Source organism: Homo sapiens, chromosome 10 (assembly GCF_000001405.40).
Source record: "Homo sapiens chromosome 10, GRCh38.p14 Primary Assembly".
NCBI lineage: Eukaryota > Metazoa > Chordata > Mammalia > Primates > Hominidae > Homo > Homo sapiens.
The window spans coordinates 30,068,298-30,094,126 of NC_000010.11; the positions used below are offsets into that span (position 1 = coordinate 30,068,298).

The window sequence follows — 25,829 nt, forward strand, 5'->3', positions numbered from 1 at the left end:
GGAGAATCTCTTGAACCCAGGAAGTGGAGGTTGCAGTGAGCCAAGATTGTGCCACTTCACTCCAGCCTGGGTGAAAGAGCAAAACTCTGTCTCAAAAAAAAAAAAAAAAAAAAAAAAAGAGGATGTAAATCTCCTGTGAAAGAAAACTTTCCATTTCATTAGTCACCTGCCTCCCTCAAACTCCCATCACACATGGAAGCTGCTGGTGCAGTACTGCATTTATCAGGGCATATCTTGGATTTGCTTACATGATACTTGGTTCAGCTACTGGATTCCGAATACCTGGTAGAAGACACTGTTCATCCCTGCCCTAACTGTGTTTTCTTAGTTTGGACTTAGTTTGTTTATTTGGCCTTCATTAATCACAGGGCCAAACTAACAGCCAAGGTTACTCACACCTCCCCTGTGATCCAGAGCCTGCTCTCTCAACCACCTCCTTATCTGACTCTTTCACAGCAAGCCAATATTTTCCCAGCCCTGAATCAACCCAGGGCTAGGTCCCAGACAACTAGGGATAACTGTGTCCCAAAGCCACTGGAATTATTCCAACTGGCCAATCCTAGGCTCTTTCCCTTGTCTCTCCTTGCCTTTCCTGTGAAAATCCCAGTAATGGCTGTGGCCAAGGCCTTCTCACTCCTTTCTGCCTCCTGATCAGCACTGGTGCTTACCCCAGGCTTTGCATGGCCTGAGGTGCCTCTTGTTTATAGGGCAACTGTGAGTAACTTTAATCTTTGCTTTCAATAGCATTGGCCTCTCAGATGTCACTTAGTCACCTTTATAAATTATGACCCAGGCACAAATCAGTTTTTCCGTTGACCACAGCCTGGCACCATACCTTTGGACAGGTAGATGAAACATGTCTGTTGAATAGAATTTTTGAATACCTCTGAAGTGGAAATGGTCGCTTCGGCTCACATTGTGGAAATCCAGAGTGGGGAATCTTCACCATAGGAGTGGGGGCCAAAGCATTAGCTGAGGACTGGGGCTGACCAAAGGAGTGAGGCAAAATGACCAGAATGGCCAGGCACAGTGGCTCATACCTGTAATCCCAACATTTTGGGAGGATGAGGCAGGAGGATTGCTTGAGCCCAGAAGTTCAAGACCAGTCTGGGCAACATAGCAAGACCCCCATCTCTACAGAAAATTTACAAAAAAAAAAAAAAAAAAAAAATTAGCCACTGCTAATTTTGAAGCAGGAGAATGGCCTCAACCTGGGAGGCAGAGGTTGCAGTGAGCTGAGATCACACCACTGCACTCCAGCCTGGGCGACAGAGCGAGACTCCGTCTCAAATAAACAACAACAACCCCCCCCCCCAAAAAAAAACACTGTATTAATTCTTTAATATATAAAATCCACCACAACCCCATATTTAGATGTGCCTGCAAGCGTGGTGGCACGCACCTGTAGTCCCAGCTCCTCAAGAGGCCAAGGCAGGAGGATCGCTTGAGCCCGGGAAGTCAAGGTTGCAGTGAACTGTGATTGCACCAATGCACTCCAGCCTGGGCAACAGAGGGAGACCCTGTCTGAAGAAAAACAAAATGGCCAGAAAACGTTAGAAAATATCTAGGCTTTCTTGAATTCTTTGTCAATTTGTTTTAAATCTGTTGGGAGTTTTATGTTTGCTTTTTCTGTGTTCTAACTTAAACCCAGCTAACCACCCCAGAACTCATTGGTTAGCCTCTTATGGACCTGAATGACATGTATATCAAGCAGATGGCATGCTATTTGTGTGTTTTGTTTAATCCCACAAAAATCAAAACTTCTACAGCAAATCAATCAAATCGTGCAAATAAGAGCGACTACAGAGGATAATTAGTGGTTTGGAGGAAGGCCACCCATAAACATGAAATATAAGTCCGAGAAAAGAAAATAAATCAAATGAAAGTCAGCTTATCAGCCACAGTTGAAAAATAACTGTGAAAATCCAAAGCCAGTGTCTTATCTAGCTGGAACAATTGGTCAGTGTCTCTGAGGCCCTGGTAACTGTTGCAATGTTTCCTTTCTCTGACCCCCTCCCTCCCTGAACTGATAATTTAGTGCATTTTTCCCAGTCAGCGCTGATAAGATCCAGCAGGATGTCCTGTGTCGTCTGCACATACCATCCCTCGAGGCTCTATCCTTGCGTGGGTACCCACGGCAACTTCCTTGTAAAAGAATGAATTGAGCACCATTTTCAAGTCAGCAGGGAACTACGTGCACTTTTTAGTTTTCGCAAATTAGTGGGTGTATGAATTATTTGTCCGCATCTTTTTACAGTCTTCCATATAGTTCTGGATGCCTGGAATGTGTATTAGAACTTTTGTTGAAACCACCAAATACCTGGAGGTTACTGTAACTAACTGGTCACAGATGTAGCATTAAATCCACCCCAACTTTTTTCCCTCCAGCTACAGCATATGCCGGAGCCACAGTTTTATACATCTTGGAACAAACGCTATTCAGAAACAAAACCAATACCTTTTTAAAAGCAGTACTACCTTATTTGGGGTCAGGGGCTACCTATTTATTTTCCAGGGGCCTGTTTATCAGTAGGCACATCTAAATATGGAGTTATGGTGGATTTTATATGTTAAAGTATTAATACAGTGTTTTTGTTGTTGTTGTTGTTGTTTGTTTGTTTGTTTTGAGACGGAGTCTCGCTTTATCGCTCAGGTTGAAGTGCAGTGGTGTGATCTTGGATCACTGCAACCTCCCCCTCCCGAGTTCAAGCAATTATCCTGCTCAGCCTCCCAAGTAGCTGGGATTACAGACATGCGCCACCACGTCTGGCTAATTTTTGTGTTTTTAGTAGAGATGGGGTTTCACCATATTGGCCAGGCTAGTCTTGAACTCCTGGCCTCAAGTGATCCATCTGCCTCGGCCTCCCAAAGTGCTGGGATTACAGGCATAAGCCACCACGCCCCAGCCTAAAGTATTAATAAAAATGTAGAAAAACATTTCCTAGTTCTTCTAATTCTTTGCTGTGACCTCACATGACAAATTGTCCTAATATCATCATTATTGTTGTTTTTACTTTCCCTAGCTCTCCTTCCCAGGGAAGTGTAGTATCAAAGAGGCACTAGCATGTGGGAAACCTCTGGAAATGGTGACAGACTGAGGACTGTGAGGACAAAAATCTTCTAATGTTGGAGCCATTGCAGGATGGTAAATCTGATTTCAAGCCACGTGATGTACAATGTTAAGGGCTTAATAACTGTGTTTAAGAAAATATATTTAAAAGTTAAGGCCGGGTGCAGTGGCTCACGGCTGTAATCCCAGCACTTTGGGAGGCCGAGGCGGGCAGATAAGCTAAGGTCAGGAGTTCACGACCAGCCTGGACAACATGGTGAAATCCTGTCTCTACTAAAAATACAAAAATTAGCCCAGCTACTCTGGAGGCTGAGGCAGGAGAATTGCTTGAACCTGGGGGGCGGAGGTTGCAAGGAGCCAAGATCGCACCACTGAACTCCAGCCTGGGAGACAGAGTGAGGCTCTGTCTCAAAACTAAATAAATAAAAGTTAAAAGACAAGTTTTTACATGCAGATTTGAAACACTAACTACATTTATATGAACAAAATAAAAAGGAATTCTGACACTAATACATTATTGCTTTGGGAAAACAAAATATGCTCCTCTTCCTCATAAAGGCAAGTGAACAGAGGTTAATATTATAAGCTCCACTCACTCGATACTCTGTTCACCTGAGATTATAATATTAACCTCAGGAAATCTTGATGGAACACTTTATGGTATTTCAATAGTTTTAAGTCTAAATGCTTTTTTAAAAAACCTGAAAAGGCACATGCTATTTGCAATACTATTCTGGAAGGAAGGAAAGAAGGAAGGGCAGGGCAGGGCAGGGAAGGGAAGGGAAGAAGGGAGGAGGGAGGGAAGGAGAGAGGGAGGGGAGAGGGATATAAATTAGAGGCATGTAAATTAGAAGCCATCTGAAGCTAAGAAATGAAAGAAAAAAATTAGAGGCCATGAAACTCCTTTAGTTCATAATTAACTCTCTCTGCTCCTCAGTAATGTGTATTTATGTAACATCCCCATTTTCCAGATTACATGATTTATCTTATGTTCTATGCTATATTAGGCACTACATCTCCTCTATCTGAATATAAGTCTATGCCTTCCTGCAGCATTTGTATATCCATAAAGATCTCATTCATCACACCAGATTGCAAGTTCTTAATAGCAAGACATCTGATGACAACGGTTACTCACAAAATAAACTATTAAGACTGGAAATGTCATAGTCTGAATCTATGAAATTATAAATCAGTAAATTTATGGATCATTTGAAAAGAAAAAGAAGTAGTGGTTGGCTATTATTGGTTAGGAAGCTAGAGGTAGGGCCCAGAAATCTTAAACAATTTCTTTTTTTTTTTTGAGACAGAGTCTCACTCTGCCGACCAGGCTGGAGTGCAGTGGTGCAATCTAAGCTCACTGCAACCTTCGCCTCCTGGGTTCAAGAGATTCTCCTGCCTCAGCCTCCGAGTAGATGTGATTACAGGTGCCTGCCACCACGCCTAGCTAGTTTTTGTATTTTTAGTAGAGACAAGGTTTCACTATGTTGGCCAGGCTGATTTCAAACTCCTGTGCCACCTCGGTCTCCTGAAGTGCTGGGATTACAGGTGTGAACCACCGCACCCAGCCACAATTTCTTTGATTCTAATGTGCACCAAAGTTTGAGAGCCATGGGGCATGACCAGTCCTAACATTCACTTTACAGGGACAGGCTCTCTTAGGAACACCTGGTCACTCGCCCTGTAGATCTCATGAACTACAAAGTGATTGATGGCCCCATTTGGGGAGCTGAAGGTATTCACAGTAAAGTGCTTCCCAATTTCCCTGTTTATCAGGAGGTAACATAACCCAGAAGAGGAAGAAGTACGTAGGCTTTGGGGTCAGACAGATTTGGGTTGGATCTCAATGCTGCCATTCATTGTGTGTCTTCAGGCAAATGACGTCATGTCTCTGAGCCTCAGTTCCTTCTAAAATGTCATATGATAATGATCCACAGTCTGGTTATGAGAATTAGATATTTGGTGAAACCATTTAGTACAGAGCCAACATTCTATGAGCATTAGCTGTTCTTACGCTGCACACTCCATGAAGTTTGTGTGAGAATGAATGAGAGAAATGCAAAGCACCTCGAACATCATGGCACTCTACAAACGGGAGGTGGCTTCCATTTCTGGGGACTAAATACAACTAATGAGCTCATTTGCTGAGAACATGGAAGGATACTATTTCTATATTCATTTACTTTTTGTGGGAAAAATATTACAGAGATGGAAGGTGATTAAGAAATTTTAGAAAGACCATTCCATTTAGCATTTACAATGGACAGGATAGCAAGATTGTCCTTCCTTCCTTCCTTCCTTCCTTCCTTCCTTGCTTCCTTCCTTCCTTCCTTCCTTCCTTCTTTCCTTCTTTCCTTCCTTCCTTCCCTCCCTCCCTCTCTCCCTCCCTTCCTTCCTGAATAGTACTGCAAATCGTATGTGCCTTTTCAGGTTGAAACAAAGCATTTAGACTTCTTAAAACTATTGAAACACACAAAGTGTTTAGTCAAGATTTCCTAAAAGGCAGGATATTTAGAGCTACTTCCATTCTGCCAGGGAACCCAGATAGCACAAGACTGCGAGATAACACTTTAATGAGAAGATTCTTATGTAATGGGAAATGTGAGCTTAATCTGAGCATATGGCTGTGAGTGTGCCTGCGTGCATATGTACGTGTGTGTGACACCTGTGTGTGAAGAGGGCAGTAAAAGCTGGCTTTTACAGTGTAGAAGAGTAGTCTTGGTGTTGGAAATCTTGGCAAAAATGCTATGGACAAAATATCCCTCTGACAGTAAATTCGGAGTATTCTTTGAGGCATACAGGATACATTTACATCTCCTCCATTGGATATTGACACACATTGTACCTGTGGCTAAGACATTACTTCACTTCCTTTCACCACTTCTTCCAAGTTTAATTGGAGGATGCCAAGCAGGCAACTGGCCAAGCAGAGAGGAATGGGACCATATTATAAACTCACTGAAAGATTCAGTGGTTTCAAGTACTCTCTGTGTACCTTGAGCCAAATCCTCAGCCAACCTGGCTATCTGGGCCTGGCTTCCATATGTTCCCAAGCTGATAATATCCCCCTCACAGATCGGGGGTCATGAGGGTTGCTGCTGATGTACCCTGCACCCACCTAAACACACAATGACGACTTCCAGGCAGAGACAACAGGACCTGCACCTGTGCCCACCTCCAGCTGCCAGCGATCCCCTCATGGGAGGAGAATTCAGAGATTGAGTGCTTTCAGTGTGGTAGGGCTATAGATGAAAGGAGAATTCAAAAAGGGTCTGGAAGACGTGGTTACACTCCTCAGAGGTGGGTAGTGGTAAAGGAGACCATGAGGCCTGTGTTTCCTGTGGCATGGCCACCATGCCATATGCAACTGCTTTCTGATATAGGAAGGAATACCTCCTTTCCATCCCCCATATTATACTACTGTTTTGTTTTTTTTTTAATAAGAGACAAGATCTCCCTCTCTCACCCAGGCTGGACTGCCATGGCACCATCTTAGCTCACTGCAGCCTCAACCTCCTGGGCTCAAGCGATCCTCTTGCCTCAGCCTCCAGAGTTGCTAGGACTATGGGCACATGCTGCCATGTGTGGCTAATTTTTTAATTTTTGTATAGGCAGGGTCTCACTATGTTGCCCAGGCTGATCTTCAACCCTGGTCTCAAGTGATCCCCTGTCTCAGCCTCCCAAAGTGTTGGGATTACAGGCATGAGCCACCATACCAGGCCAGACTTGTTTTTGAAGGGTTTAATTATTTTGTTTAAATTCTGATTGCACAATCTAGAAATATACATAGAATTCTAGGAAATGTCTTATTCTTCTATGAAGGAAAAGGCCTTGGAATCTGAATGAAACAGGTTGGAGTTGTCCTACTCTCTGAAGGGAATAAATGAGCTTTAGGAATGGAGGATCCAATACAATCCTAGTTCCCCTCTGATATTATGAGGAAGCTGATCCCATATAAGCTTACATATTGCTTCCAACATGCGTTTAGTTGGGTTTTTTAGGAACAACATGCTCTTCTCATTAAACCCGTAGGTCTGGTGACATTTCATGTAGCTTTAGTCCAACTCTGTGGAATGGCCCAATTGATTTAATATTCACATTGGTACCAATGATACAGGATAACTGCTATTTAATAAATGGACTAACAGTCAGCTAAAAAGCTAGTGTACCCAAGGTTTCCTCCCACTGTTAGATTTCAATCCAAAGCCCTACCCTTTCTTAACCCACCCTGGGAAGCTACGCGGAATACAAATTCTTGCATAAAATGAAGCCAGTGTCACATCAGAAATGCCAAACATCAAACACCAGCAGACGCCAACCTGTCAGAATCCATGCTGGCAGATTCTGGAGCAGCACACTAGAAAAATGTGATGTGAGCAGGAAGGGGAAAAATGCATTTGAAATGAGGGCGGGTTGCTCTTGTTTTCCTAATATCCATGAAAGGGAGGAAGAATTAGGGCAAAAAGCAAAGGAGCTCCCATGCATTTGGGTCTACTCCGTTTGCTTGACACGGCTGTATCCTCACTGTATTATAGCACTATTTCCAAGCATTGTCATTTGTTCTGAATCATCTACACCAAAATGACAAATGGTGTTAGCCTGATGCTTCCTGAGGCATATGTGGTTTTACTTCCAATTTGTAAATATGGTTCAAACAGGGACTTTTTTTTTTTTGAGACAGAGTCTCATTCTGTCACCCCAGCTGGAGTGCAATGGCATGATCTGGGCTCACTGCAACCTCCACCTCCTGGGTTCAAGCGATTCTCCTGCCTCAGCCTCCCGAGTAGCTGGGATTACAGGTGCCTGCTACCACACCCGGCTAAATTTTTTTGTATTTTTAGTAGAGGCATGGTTTCATCATGTTGGCCAGGCTGGTCTCAAACTCCTGACCTCAGGTGATCCACCTGCCTCGGCCTCCCAAAGTGCTGGGATTACAGGTGTGAGCCACCGTGCCCAGCCAACAGGGACTTTTTGAGCATTTAGTACCCGTACAGAAATCTGACAGTTATTTCAGAACATCAAAGTTTTTATCTGATCAAAATAGTTACAATGTACAGGTGTTTGCTGAGTGTAGAAACCACAGGTGAAACTGATTTTCATTGTCTTTTTTTCTCTTATTTTATGTTTCTTTGAACTAGGATTATCCCTCAAGATTTTCAGTATCTTAATTCCCCAAGACTGTGGGTCACACTCAGCTAGATATAGAAACAAGCCTTCCCTTTTCAGAAAGGGGCGGTGTCCCAGGGCTGTTTGGCTACCCCTTTTATAATTGTGAGTGAAATTAGGAAGGATTATCTATGTGCAGCTAGAACAATATATAAGGACACATGTGGGTATATAGCATTGCTATCCATTAAAGTTTAAAATAAAACTCAGCTGTGATGGGACCAGCAGACAGCCTGTTACCTTCAACATCATAGGAATGAAAGTCAGCATGAAAGCAAAGCCATCACGCTTGTCAAGGGTAGAAAGAAACAAAAGACATACTCTAAGCTTGTGCGAACCAGCTAGGAGGGCCGAATCGCTCAGGCCCACGTTTTGCTCATTTTAAAAGGATTCTCGGGGAGTGGAGAAGGCACATTCCCCAGCAGAACTGACCTGCCCAGAAGGGAAGGCAGAAAAATGGACACATATTTGATTGAACTTGGAAAAACGTATGAAGACATTCGGAATTGCAGAGTATATTAATGCCTCTGCAAGGCAGCCTGGGCGGGCCACTGAAACCTGCCTCCTAGAGCCACAGCATCAGTGAAACCAGCTTCACAGAGTCTGAGTGTCTAGTCTTCTTGGGCACAAGGTAATATATTTACAAATCCCTGGCCAGAAGATGGTATTGGGAACAGAGATGCCTAAGCTCTTGGCAAGGAATTGAGCAAATAGAATCAAATAGAATTGGCCTTTCTATCCTTTTTTGTTGTTTGTTTTTTGAGATGGAGTCTCGTGCTGTTGCCCAAGCTGGAGTGCAGTGGTACAATCTCAGCTCACTGCAGCCTCTGCCTCCTGGGTTCAAGTGATTCTCCTGCCTCAGCCTCCCAAGTAGCTGGGACTACAAGCACCTACCACCATGCCTGACCTTTCTGTACTTTTGTTTAACCATTTAAAGTATACGTTTCAGTGGCATTAAGTACATTGATGGTGTTTTACAACCATCATGACTATTCATTTCCAGAAACTTTGTATCATCCCAAACAGAAACTGTATTCATTAAGCAATAACTCCCCATTCCCTTCAGCCCCTGATAACCTCTACTCTGTCTTCCATTTACAAATATACCTCTTCTGGATACCTCAGACAAGTGGTATCATATAATATTTCTCATTTTATGTCTGGCTTATTTCACCCAGCGTGTTTTCAAGGTTCATTCATGTTGCAACACACAGAATTTCACTCCTTCGTAAGGCTGAATAATCTTCAATGGTACATATATGACATTTATCCATTTATCTATTGATGGACAAGAGTTTTCTCCACCTTTGGCCGTTGTGAATAATGCTGCTATGAACACTGGTGCATAAGTATCTGTTTGAGTCACTATTTTCAGTTCTTTGGGCTATATACCTAGAAGTAGAATGGCTGGATCATATGCCAATTCTACGTTTAACTTTTTGAGGAACTGGCAAACTGTTTTCCATAAGGACTGTACCATTTCACATTCCCACCAGCAATGAAGGGAGGGTTCCAATTTCTCCATATCCCTGCCAATATTTGTGGTTGTTTTGTTTTTTACACAGCCATCCTAATGGGTATGAAGTGGTATCTCATTGTAGTTTTTATTTGCATTCCATACTTTTTCTAATTTAGTCACTAAAGATAGGTATGGCTTTTCCTCTGAAATTCCAGTAGTTTCTCTTGTTCAACCAAACAATGTGTGTATGAAGCCTATTTCTTCACAGATTTCAGAGCTGCTCAGCAGGGATTTCACCTTGTCACTGTCATACCACACAGCACAGACTGATTGGAATTGAAGGAAGGCAAACAGCTGAATCAAGAAAGGCACTTTGCACTCTCTCTGGGGCAGGATGAAGGGTTTCTTTCTTTTTCTTTCTTCCTTTCTTTTTTTTTAATACAACAGCATCAGAGAACTGCCATTTAGTGCAAAGCAGGCAATTCACCCATCAAGCCTGTGAAGGTAGTTGAAGTAGCTGCTCTAATGGCTGAATGGCTGGACAAAAGCGGCCATTGTGGGGCTCACTGCTTTTGAGGACAACGATGATTGCTCTGATCTGATAGCAAGACCATGAAATTATACCTGTGATAGAAAGAGCTGCATCTTGAACGAGTCGCTCCTTTAATGATCAGCTAATGGCAACAGGTCCCCTTTACACTACTACACAAAAAGTCACAGGACAATCGTATGTTCCTTTTTAGAAGTAGATGTATCTGAGCTGCAGCAGGCATCTCTCTGATGACAGTTACGAGGATGGTGACCCTGGTTCTGGGACTGATGCTGGCAACATTCAGGAGAGAAATGTTGTGGCTGGCGTTCTCAAGTACACGCCAGTAAAAGAAGGTCATGTGCCACACTGGTCTTCTTTGTGTGCCCTTGAAGCTGGGAGCTTCATTTGTGGGCATGGAGGGAATAACAGTAGTGAAGGTAGGTAGGTAAGTGTCCCATAAATCTGGCTCTAGGCTCGAGTGCTCAGACTTTAGTGAGACTATTCCAGTCAACAGCAGGGAAACCCACCTCTGCTGGTAATGCCAGCCTAGAAATCTGGCTGAACTTGTTAGTAAGTCAAGAATAGTAATCATCTTGGGAGGCCGAGGCGGGCAGATCACGAGGTCAGGAGATGAGACCACGGTGAAACCCCGTCCCTACTAAAAATACAAAAATTAGCCGGGCGTGGTGGCCGGCGCCTGTAGTCCCAGCTACTCGGGAGGCTGAGGCAAGAGAATGGCGTGAATCCGGGAAGCGGAGCTTGCAGTGAGCCCAGAATGTGCCACTGCACTCTAGCCTGGGCGATAGAGCAAGACTCCATCTCAAAAAAAAAAAAAAAAAAAAAGAATAGTAATCATCACAGGGGCTTCTGGTGAACTGGCAACAGAGAGCAAAAAGGTAGAAGTGAACCTTGAAGTGATGCAGATGTTATTTTTCAGATGGACTCTTTTGAGTTTTAAGGAGAAAAACTTCCAAAAGAAATAATCTGATAGGTCTACTCAATCACCATTGCCCCTGTCTAGGCAGAGAATCTTTGTAAACCTCTTCCTGGTTCCTGGTCATGGATTGGCTGCCCTTGGGTCAGCTGATTCACCAGGCTCCAATCAGCTGAGGGGGCTTGCTCACATGACACACAACGTGGCCACTCCTACTGAAAGACTAGAGAGCAGTGGGAAAAAGAATTTCTTGGGGTCAGAGACTGTGTATCACAACTATAATTCATGGGTCTGATACATTCATACCCAACTCTGCACTTACAAAAACCAGACAGTTGGACTTCACATTTTTCTCCCTTGCCTAAAACTTAGAATGGTTTCTGCAGATCATGAGAATATGTTATAAAAATAATTTAGGTCAGGCCTCACTTGCTTTTACAATTGTTCCTAATCATCATTATTCATCATTTACTTAATTTTTCAAACAACCCCTCTTCCCACAGAAAGAGCAAGAATGATAAAGAATATCTATATAAGTCTCTTGGCAGAAAAAAAACTCCTATAAGATAATTTCCTTACTGAGCTACCTGAGTTGAGTAGTTTAGATATTTCCTAGAAGAAGGCCAGGGAGACTCAATTCTCTTCCTGTCCAGTGGTTTTGTTGAATAGTCAGTGAGTGAGGAAAAAAAAAATTAAAAGTTCCTTTTCCCTTTTGGAATTCTTATCTTAGAAGAACTACCAAGTTTCAAAGCACCACTTGAATCTTTTTTCTTAAATATTTAGTGTTGGGTTCTCTTACTCCCTGTTCCCTCCTTCCCATCTTCAAACAGCAACACAGAGAACTCTCCTCTCAGTTCCTGAGGCTCATGACTTTGAGTCAACTTCTATCCCACCCTTCTCTCTCTTTCCCCAATAGTGAGTCATTGCTGAGTCCTGTATTTGTATCCTCTTGACCCATCCTTTCCAATATATTCCTGCAATTTTGGCAATAGTCTTATGTCTGGGGCTCTTCTGTTGGCCTTACTCTACAGACTTAGATTTCCTACACAGCCTAGAGAGCAATCTGACATAAATCCCATTTCGATCATGACATTTCTCCATTGACAAACCTATGTTCAAGCCACTGTCAAATTCAGATGCCTGTATCACATGCTTCCTACATTTAAGTTCCCAATCTCATGATTCATTAACTCACCCCCAGTCATTAGGACAGCCCCCAATCTCACCACTCTGCAGGCCACTGAGTCAGGCCCCCTGGCCCATCAGCCTTTCTACTGGCCATTTCCCCCTCTGGAATGATCCCCTTATTACCCACTCCTGTGCCCCTGTTCAACTGAAGTCCGGGAGCTATCCCCCAGCATTAAACCACGGGCCTGCACATCCTGCATGCTTTCCAAGAACTGCCCTCTTATGGTCAAACAGCATCTTCCTGTCCATGATGTCTGCTACCCAGATGGCCCCCGAAGCCTCTTTCATGACTTGTTCTCAGTTTAGGGATAGAGGAAAACAGATTCTCTCTTCTCACCAAAGCAACTCTGTTTTAGACTCGCACCAGGTGTACTTATACCAAAATCACTAAAGAACAATGGAACATATCTTTTCTCTGCCCCAAATCTCCTTACTACCGACCACCTGGGGTTTCCCAGATGAAGGCAAATGCCTCCTGAGGTTAAGCTTAAAAGGCATCTGTGTTACCTGGAAGGGATAAGACATTATTGACACCTAGTGAATTTGTACCATGGATTAGTTTAACAGATTGGCTGGAGCATGAAAGATAAAGGAGTAGAACAAAGCTATATTTTGATATGTTATATATCAGTCTGGAATTTCTTTGGTTACAAAGGGCAGAAACCCAGTTTGAACTATCTTGGTCAATTTATCTTGGAAGACTTAATTGAATGACAGAATTGGAGGAAGGGTTGAACAAACAAGTTGGGTAAGTGAAGGCGTAGAGCTGAATCTGAGCCCAATGTTTGTTTTTTATTTTATTTTTGAGATAGTCTTGCTCTGTCACCCAGGCTGGAGTGCAGTGGCGTGATCTATGCTCACTGCAATCTCCGCCTCCCTGGTTCAAGCGATTCTCATACCTCAGCCTCCTGAGTAGCTGGGTCTACAGGCACACGCCACCATGCCTGGCTAATTTTTGTATTTTTAGTAGAGACGGGGTTTCGCCATGTTTGCCAGGCTGGTCTCGAACTCTTGGCCTTAAGTGATCCACTCACCTCAGCTTCCCAAAGTGCTGGGATTACAGGTTTGAGCCACCGCACCTGGCCTCCTGAGCCCAAGATTTGAATGCTAGCACGTACCAGCAGCAGTACCGACATGCCGCTGCCTAGAAAAGAAAACTGTGTCCCTGAGAGCTGCCCCTAAAGGGATCACTCACGTCTGCTGCATAGCAGCTCCTGAAATTAGTAGACACTTGTTTGGAAGCTGTGTGTAGTATTATAACCTCCAGTATGGCCTATAATTCTGTTGCACTAAGAACCTCTTTTAGTGTTTGGAGATATCAAATGTGTTTATAGCTAGAGGGTCAGTGGGTACATTAAATTTCCTCATTTGCTGATATTTAAACTGAGCTACACTTGTTTAAATATATCGTTTACGTCTAAGTGTAATTGTGCTTTTACCTTTTTCTTTGAAATGAATTATTATGAATATATATTTATATCTCACACATAATGGTGATGATTAAAACCTTAAAAAGGGCCTTGGAACAGATGGTAGTTTTAGAACAAAACAGATCCATTAGCTGTCAAATCCAGCTTCCCGTAGGATGAAAAATAGAGTTAGTTCTCAGGTAGTACTAAGAAAAGCTCTCACTTAATCTAATACCTTAGGTTATGGATTATTTTGTAAAAAATTTGACATGGGAAAACTATGACAACTCACAAACTGCAAAAAATAAAATAAAAATTCATATTATTCTCTAAGCAAACAACACAAAACCTAATTGAAAGTATATTTTAAAAGATGATATGGGCCGGGCGCAGTTGCTCACACCTATAATCCCAGCACTTTGAGAGGCCGAGGTGGGTGGATCACTAGATCAAGAGATCAAGACCATCCTGGCCAACATGGTGAAACCCATCTCTACTAAACATAAAAAAATTAGGCCAGGTGTGGTGGCTCATGCCTGTAATCCCAGCACTTTGGGAGGCTGAGGCAGGTGGATCACCTGAGGTCAGCAGTTTGAGACCAGCCTGACCAACATGGAGAAACCCCATCTGTACTAAAAACACAAAATTGGCCGGGTATGGTGGTGCGTGCCTGTAATCCCAGCTACTTCGGAAGCTGAGGCAGGAGAATTGCTTGAACCTGGGATGTGGAGGTTGCGGTGAGCCAAGATCACACCATTGTACTTTAGCCTGGGCAACAAGAGTGAAACTCTGTCTCAAAAAAAAAAAAAAAAAAAAAAAAAACAAAAAATTAGCTGGGTGTGGTGGCATGCACCTGTAGTCCCAGCTACTTGGGAGGCCAAGGCAGGAGAATCACTTGAACCCAGGAGGCAGAGGTTGCATTGAGCCAAGATTGCACCACTGCACTCCAGCCTGGCAACAGAGCAAGATTCCATCTCAAAAAGCAAACAAACAGAAAAACAGAAACAAAAAAAAGATGATACAATTGATTTGGAATTAAATGGTGCAAATTTCCAGAGTTTTCCAAATACGCATAGTTTTCCTATCCCCATTTGTGTAATCTCTTATTTTTTTTTAACCATGAGAAGAAGGAAAAAATAATCTCTAATTTTATAGAAGTAGAGATTTCTAGGACCAGAGAAATCACTAGAGATGACACAATGATTTGTCCAAGGTCAGACAACTATTTAGAGTCAGAGCAGAAGCTGGAGTCAAGTCTCCTCCCCTTTATCCTTTCTACCACCTCCATCAAATGCTCAGCAGTCCTTTTCTAAAGGAATGGTTCTATAAATAGTCACTCATGTCAGATTTTCTGTATGTGTATGTTCATGTGGATCTACTAAGTAAAATGTTTTGATAAAAGATCTTTAAACAACATATTGCATGGCCACAAACAGTTCTCAGGGCAAACAAATATATTTGCAGATGTTCTGTTCTACTCAATAGAGACAAAAGAGTTCTTTGTATACCACAGAATACAGGGTCTAGAGACCGCTAAAGTTAAGCTAAAATGCCTATAAGCAAATCTGTGTTTAAATAATGCAATTCATAGTTTTACATGGAAATGAAATGAAACTTCTGTCCATCAGCACTAGCGTAAGTCAGGCATGAGTCAGAAACATAGGTGTTTAAGCCATAAGAAAGAAAAGGTGGCTGGGCGCGATACTCATGCTTGTAATCCCAAAAGTTTGAGAGGCCAAGGCAAAAAGATCACTTGAGCCCATGAGTTGCAGATCAGCCTGGGCAACATAGTGAGACGCCATCTTTACAAAAACATACAAAGAGCTGGGCATAGTGGTACACACCTCTAGTCCCAGCTGAGGAGGTTGAGGTGGGAGGATAGCTTGAGCCCAGGAATTCGAGGCTGCAGTGAAGTATGATCTTGGTGCTGCACTCCAGCCTGGGTGACAGAGTGAATGAAAAAAAGAAAGAAAGAGAGAGAGAGAGAAAGGGAGAAATAGAAAGAAAAAGAAAGAAAGAAAGAAAGAGTGAGAGAAAGAAAGGGAGAAAGAGAAAGAAAAAGAAAGAGAAAGAAAAAGGAAGAGAAAAGAAAAAAGAAAAGGAAAGAAGGAGGAAGGAGGAAGGAAGAGGGAGGGAGGGAGAGAAGGAAAGAAAGGGAAGGAAGGAAGAAAGGAAGAAAGGAAAATATGCAAATAGGCAAAGCAATTTTATAGAATCTGAAAACTTCACTATTATTCAAGAAGTGAGAAAGATAAATTTGACTTGATATAAAATATAGTGTGATGATTAATTTTATGTGTCAGCTTACTAAATCAAGGGGTGGCCCAGGTATTTGGTCAAACCTTCTGTGCGTTTCTGTGAGGCTGTTTTTTGAATGAGCTGAACATTTAAATTGGTAGACTTGAGTACAGCAAATCACCCTCCCTAAAGTGGGTAGGGGCCTCAGTCAATCAGTTGAAGGACTCAATAGAACAAAAAGACTGACCTTGTCCTAAGTAAGGGAGAATTCCTCTTGCCTGACTGCCTTTGAACTGGGAAGCTGGCTTTTTTCCACCTTCAGACTCAAAGTGAAACACTGGCTCTTCCAGGTCTCAACCCTGCTGGCCATCAGATTGGAATGTGTACCATCAGCTCTCCTGGGTCTTAGGATTCTCAACTCACGCTGAAGATCTTGCAACTTGTCAGCCTCCATAATGGCATGAGCCAATTTCTTATAATCAAATCTGTATCTATCTATCTATCTATCTATCTATCTATCTATCTATCTATCTATCTGTGTATCTATCCATCCATCCATCCATCCATCTATCTATCCATCTACCCACACACATCCTGTTGGTTCTGCTTCTCTGTAACACACTGATGAATACGGATAGCAATTATTTGCACTCTGGAAATAATCGTAGTCACTCGATCTAAGTTCATCTTGTTTATATAGTCACAGTTTTCAAACTGATTTGCCATCACATTAATAAAATAAAGAAACAATCCTGATATGAGAGCAGTAGGTATCCTGATATTCATCAGTTTCTTTTCTTCCAGTTATATAACCTTTCTTGTTTTAATCTTTTGGTTTCTTTATGAACTCAGGTTTGGTGTTGTATTTTTCCCTATTTCAAAGGAGTAACCTGATTGTCTTTTGGTGTGATTTATACAACTGGTATCAGCAAGCTTCAAATTGGGACATCAGGGGAAAAGCAGGCTTACGTAAAATGATTTTGTGACCTTGAATTGGTCTTTACATTTATCTAGTATTTCTACATTTATCTTTTATTCATCCTATGGTAAGTTCGTTCTTACCATGAGATTCCTTCTAGCTCAAAAATTCTGTAATAAATAAAAGACATGGTTTCTGCTTCCAATAAATTTGTCATTGAGCTAGAGAGAAGATATGCTGGATTGTAATACAGGCAAAGGTTTTGCAGTGGCTTTGAGAAGACAGAGATTAAGGAAGCAGTGTGATCATGAAAAGCTCTTTGACAAGGATGAGATGCCCTTACGTGATGGGATGAAGGAAGAGCTTCCCAGAGAGGGGCAATGTGAGTTAAGAGCCAAAAAAGCGAGAATTGGTTTCAAGACCAACGACATATGTTGGGAATCATGTGTAGGGGTGGGCAGTGGAGATGGGGAGTGATAGGTTGAGCCTAAAAAAGTGGCCCTCCAGCCACTTTGCAACTGAGCAGAGTCCTGATTTCTAGCATCCGTCATGACTTAGTTACCTATTCTATTTAATAGTGCCCATGGGTTTAAGGTAATGTCCAATCCATGAACTACATGATGTCCTACACATCTGCATAGCAGGAATGTATGACATCCCCGAGTGTTTGTTTAGCCAATTTCAAACACCAATCCAGTCCTTCCCCAGAAAGTCTATTTGTTTAATGAACTCTTTTGAAATGTTAAAATTCAAAATTACGTGACAAATTGGGTGAGTTGCAGGCAAAATGTATAAAACTCTGTATATGTCTGTTAACTCATTGGAAAATGGGAAATTTAGACTTTTGTCAGCATTAAACTATCACCAAAAATTAAAATTAATTTTAATTTTTAAAATTAAATTTAAAACAATTACATTAAAAAATTATTTTTTTAAAGACAGGATTTTCCTAAAAAAAGGAACATGTACAAAGTACACTATTGATTAACTATCTTAAAAAAAATCTAGAAGCAAAGTCTACTTATTGTCTGCCTCTTTTGTGCATTGAACTTTTCCCCTCCACACCCTTAGTGGACAAATTTGTGTAACCAGCATGTCAGAGATGTAGGGCATTATCCCAAAGGGAGCATTCACTGACAGGGCAGAAGATAGAAGCTACTACTGAGTTTTAAATGAGCTGCATTAGACAATCCAGTTGAGAGCTTACTTCTTTTGGTTTGCAGCTGCCTACAGGATGATGTCAGTTGACAGAAGGTGGAAAGTTCCGTGTTTGAATGCATCAGTTTCTTCAGCTTTGCATCTTCAGCAGTGAATTCAGCAGGCTGAAAACCATGTCACAAATCCTGATCATTAATTGCCACCCACCCTGGGTGGAAATCCAATCCTACTAATGAAAAAAGTTGTTCAATGCTTTGTTCCAACAAACAAAAGTCATCCCTGCTTTTTTAACTGCAATACTTCCCAGAGCACATATGCTGGATGAAGCAATGGTGGGGCTGTCCACCAAGCCTTTTCAAACTGTAGATTCAAACTCTTTCCAATCTGATGCATGTGATTTGAAAATGCTCCTATACCTTTTATAAATAAAGAAGTTAGATCAGACTGAGAAGTCAGAGATAGTTTTCTAAAAGGGTTACAGTTATTTTTCTCTTTTTTAAAAGTGAAGAGCAGATTTCTTAGTGTTGGTAGATTTTTATTTATTGCTAAAGAGCTCCTGCTGTCACCTGTTACAGTGGGATAAATATAGTAAACCGAACCCTAGACTCAGGGTCCAGAGACTTGGGGTGAGGGGAGTCTTGGCCCTTCCCAATTAAGCACGTAGTGTGGTAGGGGAACCCTTATTCCTGCTAGTGAGATAGAGTCTTGCTCCAGACTCCTCTCCACTTTTTTATAAACTCTACCCCAGGCAAAGAGGCTAAGTGGCAACCGATTGTCAAGTCTGGGAGGAGGCCAGGCACGGTAGCTCACGCCTGTAATCCCAGGACTTTGGGAGGCCGAGGCGGGCGGATCACCTAAGGTCAGCTCAAGACTAGCCTGGCCAACATGGTGAAACTCTGTCTCTACAAAAATACAAAAATTAGCTGGGCATGGTGGTGGGTGCCTGTAATCCCACCTACTCAGGAGGCTGAGAAGGGAAAATCGCTTGAACCTGGGAGGTGGAGGTTACAGTGAGCCGAGATCATGCCATTGCACTCCGGCCTGGGTGACGGAGAGAGACTCCGTCTCAAAAATAAAAATAAAAGTAAAAATAAAAAATAAAAAAGTCTGGGAGAAGGAGCTGAACACAGTCTAGCACTTTACTCCTCCATCTCTTAGAATGTACCAGTTAGTGCACACTCTTGGCCAGTTCTCAAGGAGGGTGGCCTGTAGTTGTTTAGCAGTAACACTGTCCATGGCAGGGAAAGTATATCTCATTTAGGGACATGGTATTAACAAGCCCACTTGGCCAGTAGACTGAAGCATCATTCTCCAGAAAAAATTCTCCATTTTTTCAGTAATACAATTGCCCAACTCAACTGATTTTGAATGTGGGAAGAGAAAAAGCAGGGCGGGGAAGTGGGTATTACTTTTTCATTCCTATTGGAAAAGGTCTAGCATGGTATCTGAAACCTTATTGGACTTCTGTAACCTTTGTTTGTTTGTTTGTTTGCCAGAGTCTCACTCTGTCGCCAGGCTGGCGTGCAGTGGCATGATCTCAGCTCACTGTAACCTCTGCCTCCCGGGTTGAAGCCATTCTCCTGCCTCAGCCTCCAGAGTAGCTGGGACTACAGGCATGCACCACCACACCCAGCTAATCTTTGTATTTTTAGTAGAGACAGGGTTTCACTGTGTTGGCTAGAATGGTCTTGATCTCTTGACCTCATGATCCACCTGCCTTGGCCTCCCAAAGTGCTGGGATTACAGGCGTGAGCCACCATGCCCAGCTGACTTCTATAAATTTTTACCTAAAATTAGTGAAGGTGGAGAGTGGGTCTGGTGAAAAAGCAAAGTAGGCTGAGTGTGAAAATTAGAAATAGGAAGTCAGTCTGACTGTTGATCCAGCTTCGAACTCCCAAAGATAGGTCATTAGCATTAGAATGGAAAACAGGGCAATCATTTTCCCCATGGGAAGTTGGAGCTAAAACAGTCACCCTAGGAGTTCCAGAACACACCCCTGTTCCCAGAGCCTGATGGTCTCAGCCAAAGCTGTAGGAGTTCTCACTGCAGGCCTCCTGATTCTTTTGTTTACTTAGAGCAAGCAGAGAGATCGGTCAGCTTAGTGTTCAGGTTTTAAATCAAGTAGTTTGGGAGATAGCAAGATAAAGGCCCTGATTCAATTTCAGTTTCTTTCTCTTTTAAAAATAATAAGATTCCGAAATACAATAACCCAAAGGCAGGAACTGGATAAAGTCCATGGGAAGAAAAGAAAACAACGGACAGATAATTTATCTCTATCCCAAGGAGAGAGGCAGAGTCCAAAAATAATGCTCATTGGCTGGGCACGGTGGCTCACACCTGTAATTCCAGCACTTTGGGTGACTGAAGGGTGTGGATCACCTGAGGTCAGGAGTTCAAGACCAGCCTGGCCAACATTGTGAAACCCCATCTCTACTAAAAAAATACAAAAATTAGCCAGGGGTGGTGGTGGCGCATGTCTGTAATCCCAGCTACTTGGGAGGCTGAGGCAGGAGAATCTCTTGAACCCAGGAGTTGGAGGTTGCAGTGAGGTGAGCCAAGATAGCAGCACTGCAGTCCAGCCTGGGCGACAGAGCGAGATGCCATCTCAAAAAATAAATAAATAATGCACATTAACCAAAATGGAGCTTTATTTTCCCTCTTTAGTGCAAATTTTAGAAACCATTGATGACAGAAGGGCTTACAGATCCTAAATCCCTCTTAGGTTCTATGGTGGCAATAAATCATTGTAAGTATGATGGATTGAGCACTGTGCTGGGGGTGGAGGCTGTACCATGTCCTTGGTAAATTCAATTTCCCACTATGCATCAAGATTTCGTCCTCTGCAAAATGAAGAAGCTGAGAGCTTTCTTCCCTAGGTGGTGAGGGTGGGCTTCTGGCTCCAGTTCCTTCTACCTGGCGAGTGCAACGTGGCACCACAGTGGTGTCAGCGAATGGCTACTGGAGAGAAGGCAGAGGCTCGGAGAAGAGCATCTGTCTTCCAGCAATTGAATAACACCTCTTCTCGCCCTGCTCAGTCTGGCTGCCCCATTTGGCAGTCACTTGCAAACTACTGCTGTGTTTCCGTCTGTCAAATCCCAGCAGAACATCAGGGATAGAGAGTGTGAAATGTGGATGCTTCTTCCGTGTGTGTGTGTGTGTGTGTGTGTGTGTGTGTGTGTGTTTGCTACTAATGGCTGTCAGGGATGGAAATGTTGGAAGACCTTTTCAAAAGTCCCTTCTGAAATACATAAAAATATCTAGAGTTCATTAGATAATTGCTTCATAGAATACAGGGTTACCATCACCATTCTTGCAGCCAGTGACAGTGTCTGATTTATTCAAAGGGGTAAGAAGTCATTGCAGATGAGTTAATCACTTGGAATAGAGCAGCAGATGCCAGATGTCTAATGAACAGCAAGGCTTTTCTGTATTTTAAGGTTTTTAAAGTACACACACACACACATACACATCAGCTCTGCTGTACAAAAGTGATTCACAATACATGAAATCATGATTGTTTCAAAATAAATTCAAAATGACTGATTTGTTTTGTTCCCAATTACATTGGTGAAAATGGTCAAAAAGAATGTGTGTGTCCATACATTCCCTGGTTAACTTCACCAACAGCTAGAGAATATGTGGTCATTTTCCTTCTCAACCTGATGGGTGCTTATGTAGTCAAGTGCCATCATCTTTAGTTTAGAGGTTATTACCCAAACAGCTGCTGGGCTCAGCAATATGATAAATGGTGTTCTTTATATTCCTGTGTTTCTGAAGCTAATGACACAAAAAATACCCTAAGAGGACATCAAGCTCCCAAACGATCATGAGCACTATTTGGTTACTTGCAGATTGCTTCCAGAATTTTTGAGAAGAAAATATTTGCACAGGCCAGTTGCGGAGGCTCACGCCTGTAATCCCAACACTTTGGGAGGCTGAGGCGGGTGGATCACTTGAGGTCAGGAGTTTGAGGCCAGCCTGACCAACATGGTGAAACCCTGTCTCTACTAAAAATGCAAAAATTAGCCAGGCGTGGTGGCGGGTGCCTGTGATCCCAGCTACTTGGAAGGCTGAGGCAGGAGAATCACTTCAACCCAGAGCCAGAGGTTGCAATGAGCCGAGATTTTGCCACTGCACTCCAGCCTTAGTGACAGAGTGAGACTCTGTCTCAGGAAAGGAAAGGAAAGGAGAGGAGAGGGGAGGGGAGGGGAGGGGAGGGGAAAGGGAAAAATGTGAACATTCGACTTCTTATTCTTGTCTACTCCTAAATCCCTTCCCATATTCAGTCAAAAGTCCTATCAGACCATGACGCGCAGGACCCTAAAAACTGAAAACCAAATCACTGTAGGGAACGTGGTGCCTCCAGGCCTCTGGGACACAGCTGTCCTCCCAAGGTGGAAGGATTGGTCGCTTCCAGCTCATTGTCTGTCCGTTAGCTTCTGCTCTAATTCACATGCTATTGATAAATAAGATGGGGGGCAAGGGAGGGAACCGGAGCCAAACCCCACGGCAGGATTAGAAATGCCAGCCGGATGCAGGCAAAGCCTTGGAAAACAACAGGGTTCATGGCTGGGCCTCCCAAGCCAGCCTGGGCCAAGCTCATTAATCTTCCAGGCCCACTGACTTACTCAGACCACAGGTGCACACGCTGGTCGTCATCTTCATGGCCAAATAAAATCATCAAAACTCTGGAGGAGTAACAACATGGTAACTTAAAGACAACCGACTGGTACGTTTATGAGAGGCTTTGCAATATGATTTCTGACAGTTGTTTGGCATCATTAAGAGATCACTAAACAGAGCTAAGAAAAAATTTTTTGAAAATAGATGTGATTCTGGACGAGATTCTAATAACATAATGGAATCTCTTCCTAAATTTGTCTTTAAAGGAAGCTCTTGTCAAAAACAAGGCTGAGAGGATAAAGATAGGTTATAACAACACATGCAAACTGGCGTCAGATTTTTCTTGGAGGGGCGTAGGAGGTAGGAAGGTGGGAAGATGTGAAAACATAACTTTATCAACGACTTGAATTTCCTCATAATAGCAATAACTATTCTTTGTTTTTTATTTTTAGTTTTTAACAAAGTCTTACTATGTTGGCCAGACTGGTCTTGAACTCCTGGGCTTAAGCAATCCTCCCACCTTAACCTCAATAACTATATTTTAAATAATTTTATGATTAAAGTCCTTGGCTATTTAGGGCTACATATGTAATTATCTATGGACATAATAATTTGATGCTAGAGAATTGTTTTAAATAAGACAGGCAAAATACTAAAAACAGTTGAAATTCTTCATTTACATGGTTTGTAATTTTTTTCTACTTTGGACTAAGTTTTTAAATTTTTTTTTTTTTTTTTTTTTTTTTTAGGCCAGGTGCGGTGGCTCACTCCTGTAATCCTAGCACTTTGGGAGGCCAAGGCGGGTGGATCACCTGATGTCAGGAGTTCAAGAGCAGCCTGGCCAAAATGGCAAAACCCTGTCTCTACTAAATAAAAATACAAAAATTAGCTGGGCCTGGTGGCACGCGCCTGTAATCCCAGCTACCTGGGAGGCTGAGGCAAGAGAATCTCTTAAATCCAGGAGGCAGAGGTTGCAGTGAGCCAAGATCATGCCATTGCACTCCAGCCTGGGCAACAGAGCGAGACTCCATCCCCCACCACAAAAAAAAAAAAAAAAAAAAAAAAAAAAAAATATATATATATATATATATATATAAAGTTACTTTATATATATATATATATATATATATATAAAAAACATTTTAACTCTTTGCAAGAAGTTCTTTAAAGTTTATCTACTTTAGGTCTAAAAACAAAGAGTAGATTTTCTACGACACTAGGGATCCTCTGGAAGGAGAAAGGAGAATGGCCGAGAAAGCAGAGGAAGGGGAGGAGTTTGTCCAGTGAGTCGCTGTGCACCGGGACCCAGGGAAGGTGATAAGTGGCAGGAAGGACTGAGGACAAATATTCTCATGTTGGTGTGTAACTCCAGCTCCTCCTGGCTTATGCTGGTAGACAAAGCAAAGTAGCTGGGAAATTCTATAGTTGTCAAAACCATCACAACCACTCCCACTCTCCCATCTAGTTCCCAAGCCCTCCGAACAGAAGCTAGCAGGCCAATGCGTTGTTTTTAGTTTACCAAACCTGGGAAACAGCGGGCAAGAGAGAATCTCACCACGGAGCACAAGCCCAGCGTTTTATGTCAGGCAGCCCACACGATGAGTCGCTTAGAGTCTTCCACAAAGAAGCTTTCTCCTTCCTGTGGGCAGGATGAATAACAGCACCCAGCCAGCACGTTGGATGCTTGGCATTGGGAGCTTTAACGTTCCCAGCTTTGACTATCTTTGAACAACCCCCCAAACCTGTGACATGTAATAATTTGTACTTCCACCGGAGCATGGACTAGAATGGTACAAGAGCAATGTTTGAGGGTGAGAGTGAATCATTTAGCTAGTGAAGGAACCTCGCTTACTGCTTAGCATCTCCAACTCAGGATTCACTGTTTTTCTGCTTGGTACCTCTGGAGGGGTGTTATGGAAAAATAGAATATTCTGTGGCAGTAAAAGATCCCTAAATAAATTATGCTTATTCTGAAAGTGAAAAGACGGCAGAATGCTCTAAGTAGGCCATGGGTTTTAGCCAGAAAATAGAGCTTTGGGATAAATTTTAAAATAATGGATTTACCACAATAAACAATTGGAAAAAAAGAATAGAATAGACTATGGAAGGAATTCAAAATTTGCAGATACACTAAGGTTCTAGATATTGAGTCTACCAATGTGTTTTCTAACTTTGAGATGGGAAAGAGCTGTGTTCTTGAGGTAGATACTGAGACCATGCCAGGGAAGGAATCTACCTTTAGCCATAAGCAAGGGAATTGATTCACACTGGGTGTGGTTTAAATGTTGATAAAACCCGCAATCTCCTGGTTTTTCCATGGAAATCCCAATGGCATACTCATTCTATGATAACTTTTGGTGTCCACATATTCGTGTTGCTTACAAGATAGTGTTCACATCTGGGCACCCACATCAGTTTGGATAATTTGAAACTGGCATTTCAGTGCACATAAGCTGCCTGTGGAGAGGTACGAGACAGACATAAGACTCACAGCTGGCCCCCTGCAGGACTGCAGAACAAACTGAGAAAGAGGCTTGCTGGCTCGCTGCATTAATGATGAGTCTCTTATAGGATTGCTTGGTGCCTTCTGTTCCTGAGATCCTGCCAAATATGTCCTGAGCTCTAGCCCCCCGCATGTGGCTCTTTTTTATTATCAGAGCCACACTCTGATCCTCAGGACTTAACTCTGGTTGGCACCACTAAAGCCACGGGAATCCCGGGGATAGAGTCTAGCTCAGAGATTCAGCAAGTATTTGCAGATCCAAGTCCTTTTGCAAGAGAGTCACGGGAATCCCGGGGATAGAGTCTAGCTCAGAGATTCAGTAAGTATTTGCAGATCCAAGTCCTTTTGCAAGAGTCTCCAAATTAAACGCCAAACTTCTTGCTTGTATAGAATATTGGATGACTGACTATTGCCCACACTAATTGGGTCCTCTCCTGAAAGCTTGCATATCTTGTTCTAAAGAGGTTGGGGCCTTCATGGGATTCTGTCTTTGTTACATAACACTTTGCTCGGCTCATGAGGACTTAACTATGAGATGGTTGATGCCGCAGGAAGGAAAAGAGTGTGATTCTCTTTGGGGGTTGATAAAGGGAAATCATTAGGAACTTGCCTCCCTGCATTGTCATTGCT

At 42.6% G+C, this 25,829-nt stretch overlaps 1 protein-coding gene and 1 long non-coding RNA gene across 5 annotated transcripts in view; one reads left to right on the forward strand and one right to left on the reverse strand.

Moving 5' to 3' along the window:
• JCAD (junctional cadherin 5 associated) overlaps positions 1 to 25,829 on the reverse strand; it is a 102,692-nt gene that overhangs the window by 55,495 nt on the left and 21,368 nt on the right. The window contains exon 2 of one of the 2 annotated variants that reach the window (NM_001350022.2): positions 1,403 to 1,524. The exons of the other annotated variant lie outside the window; for it this stretch is intronic. The gene's annotated coding sequence lies outside the window, so the exon portion shown is untranslated. The remainder of the gene's footprint in view (positions 1 to 1,402; positions 1,525 to 25,829) is intronic. 2 annotated transcript variants of the gene reach the window in all.
• Positions 1 to 25,829, forward strand: part of LOC101929256 (uncharacterized) — a 62,244-nt gene that overhangs the window by 9,460 nt on the left and 26,955 nt on the right. The window contains exon 1 of one of the 3 annotated variants that reach the window (XR_001747407.1): positions 2,915 to 3,145. The exons of the other annotated variants lie outside the window; for them this stretch is intronic. This is a non-coding gene — a long non-coding RNA (uncharacterized LOC101929256). Of the gene's footprint in view, positions 1 to 2,914; positions 3,146 to 25,829 lie in introns of those variants that run through there. 3 annotated transcript variants of the gene reach the window in all.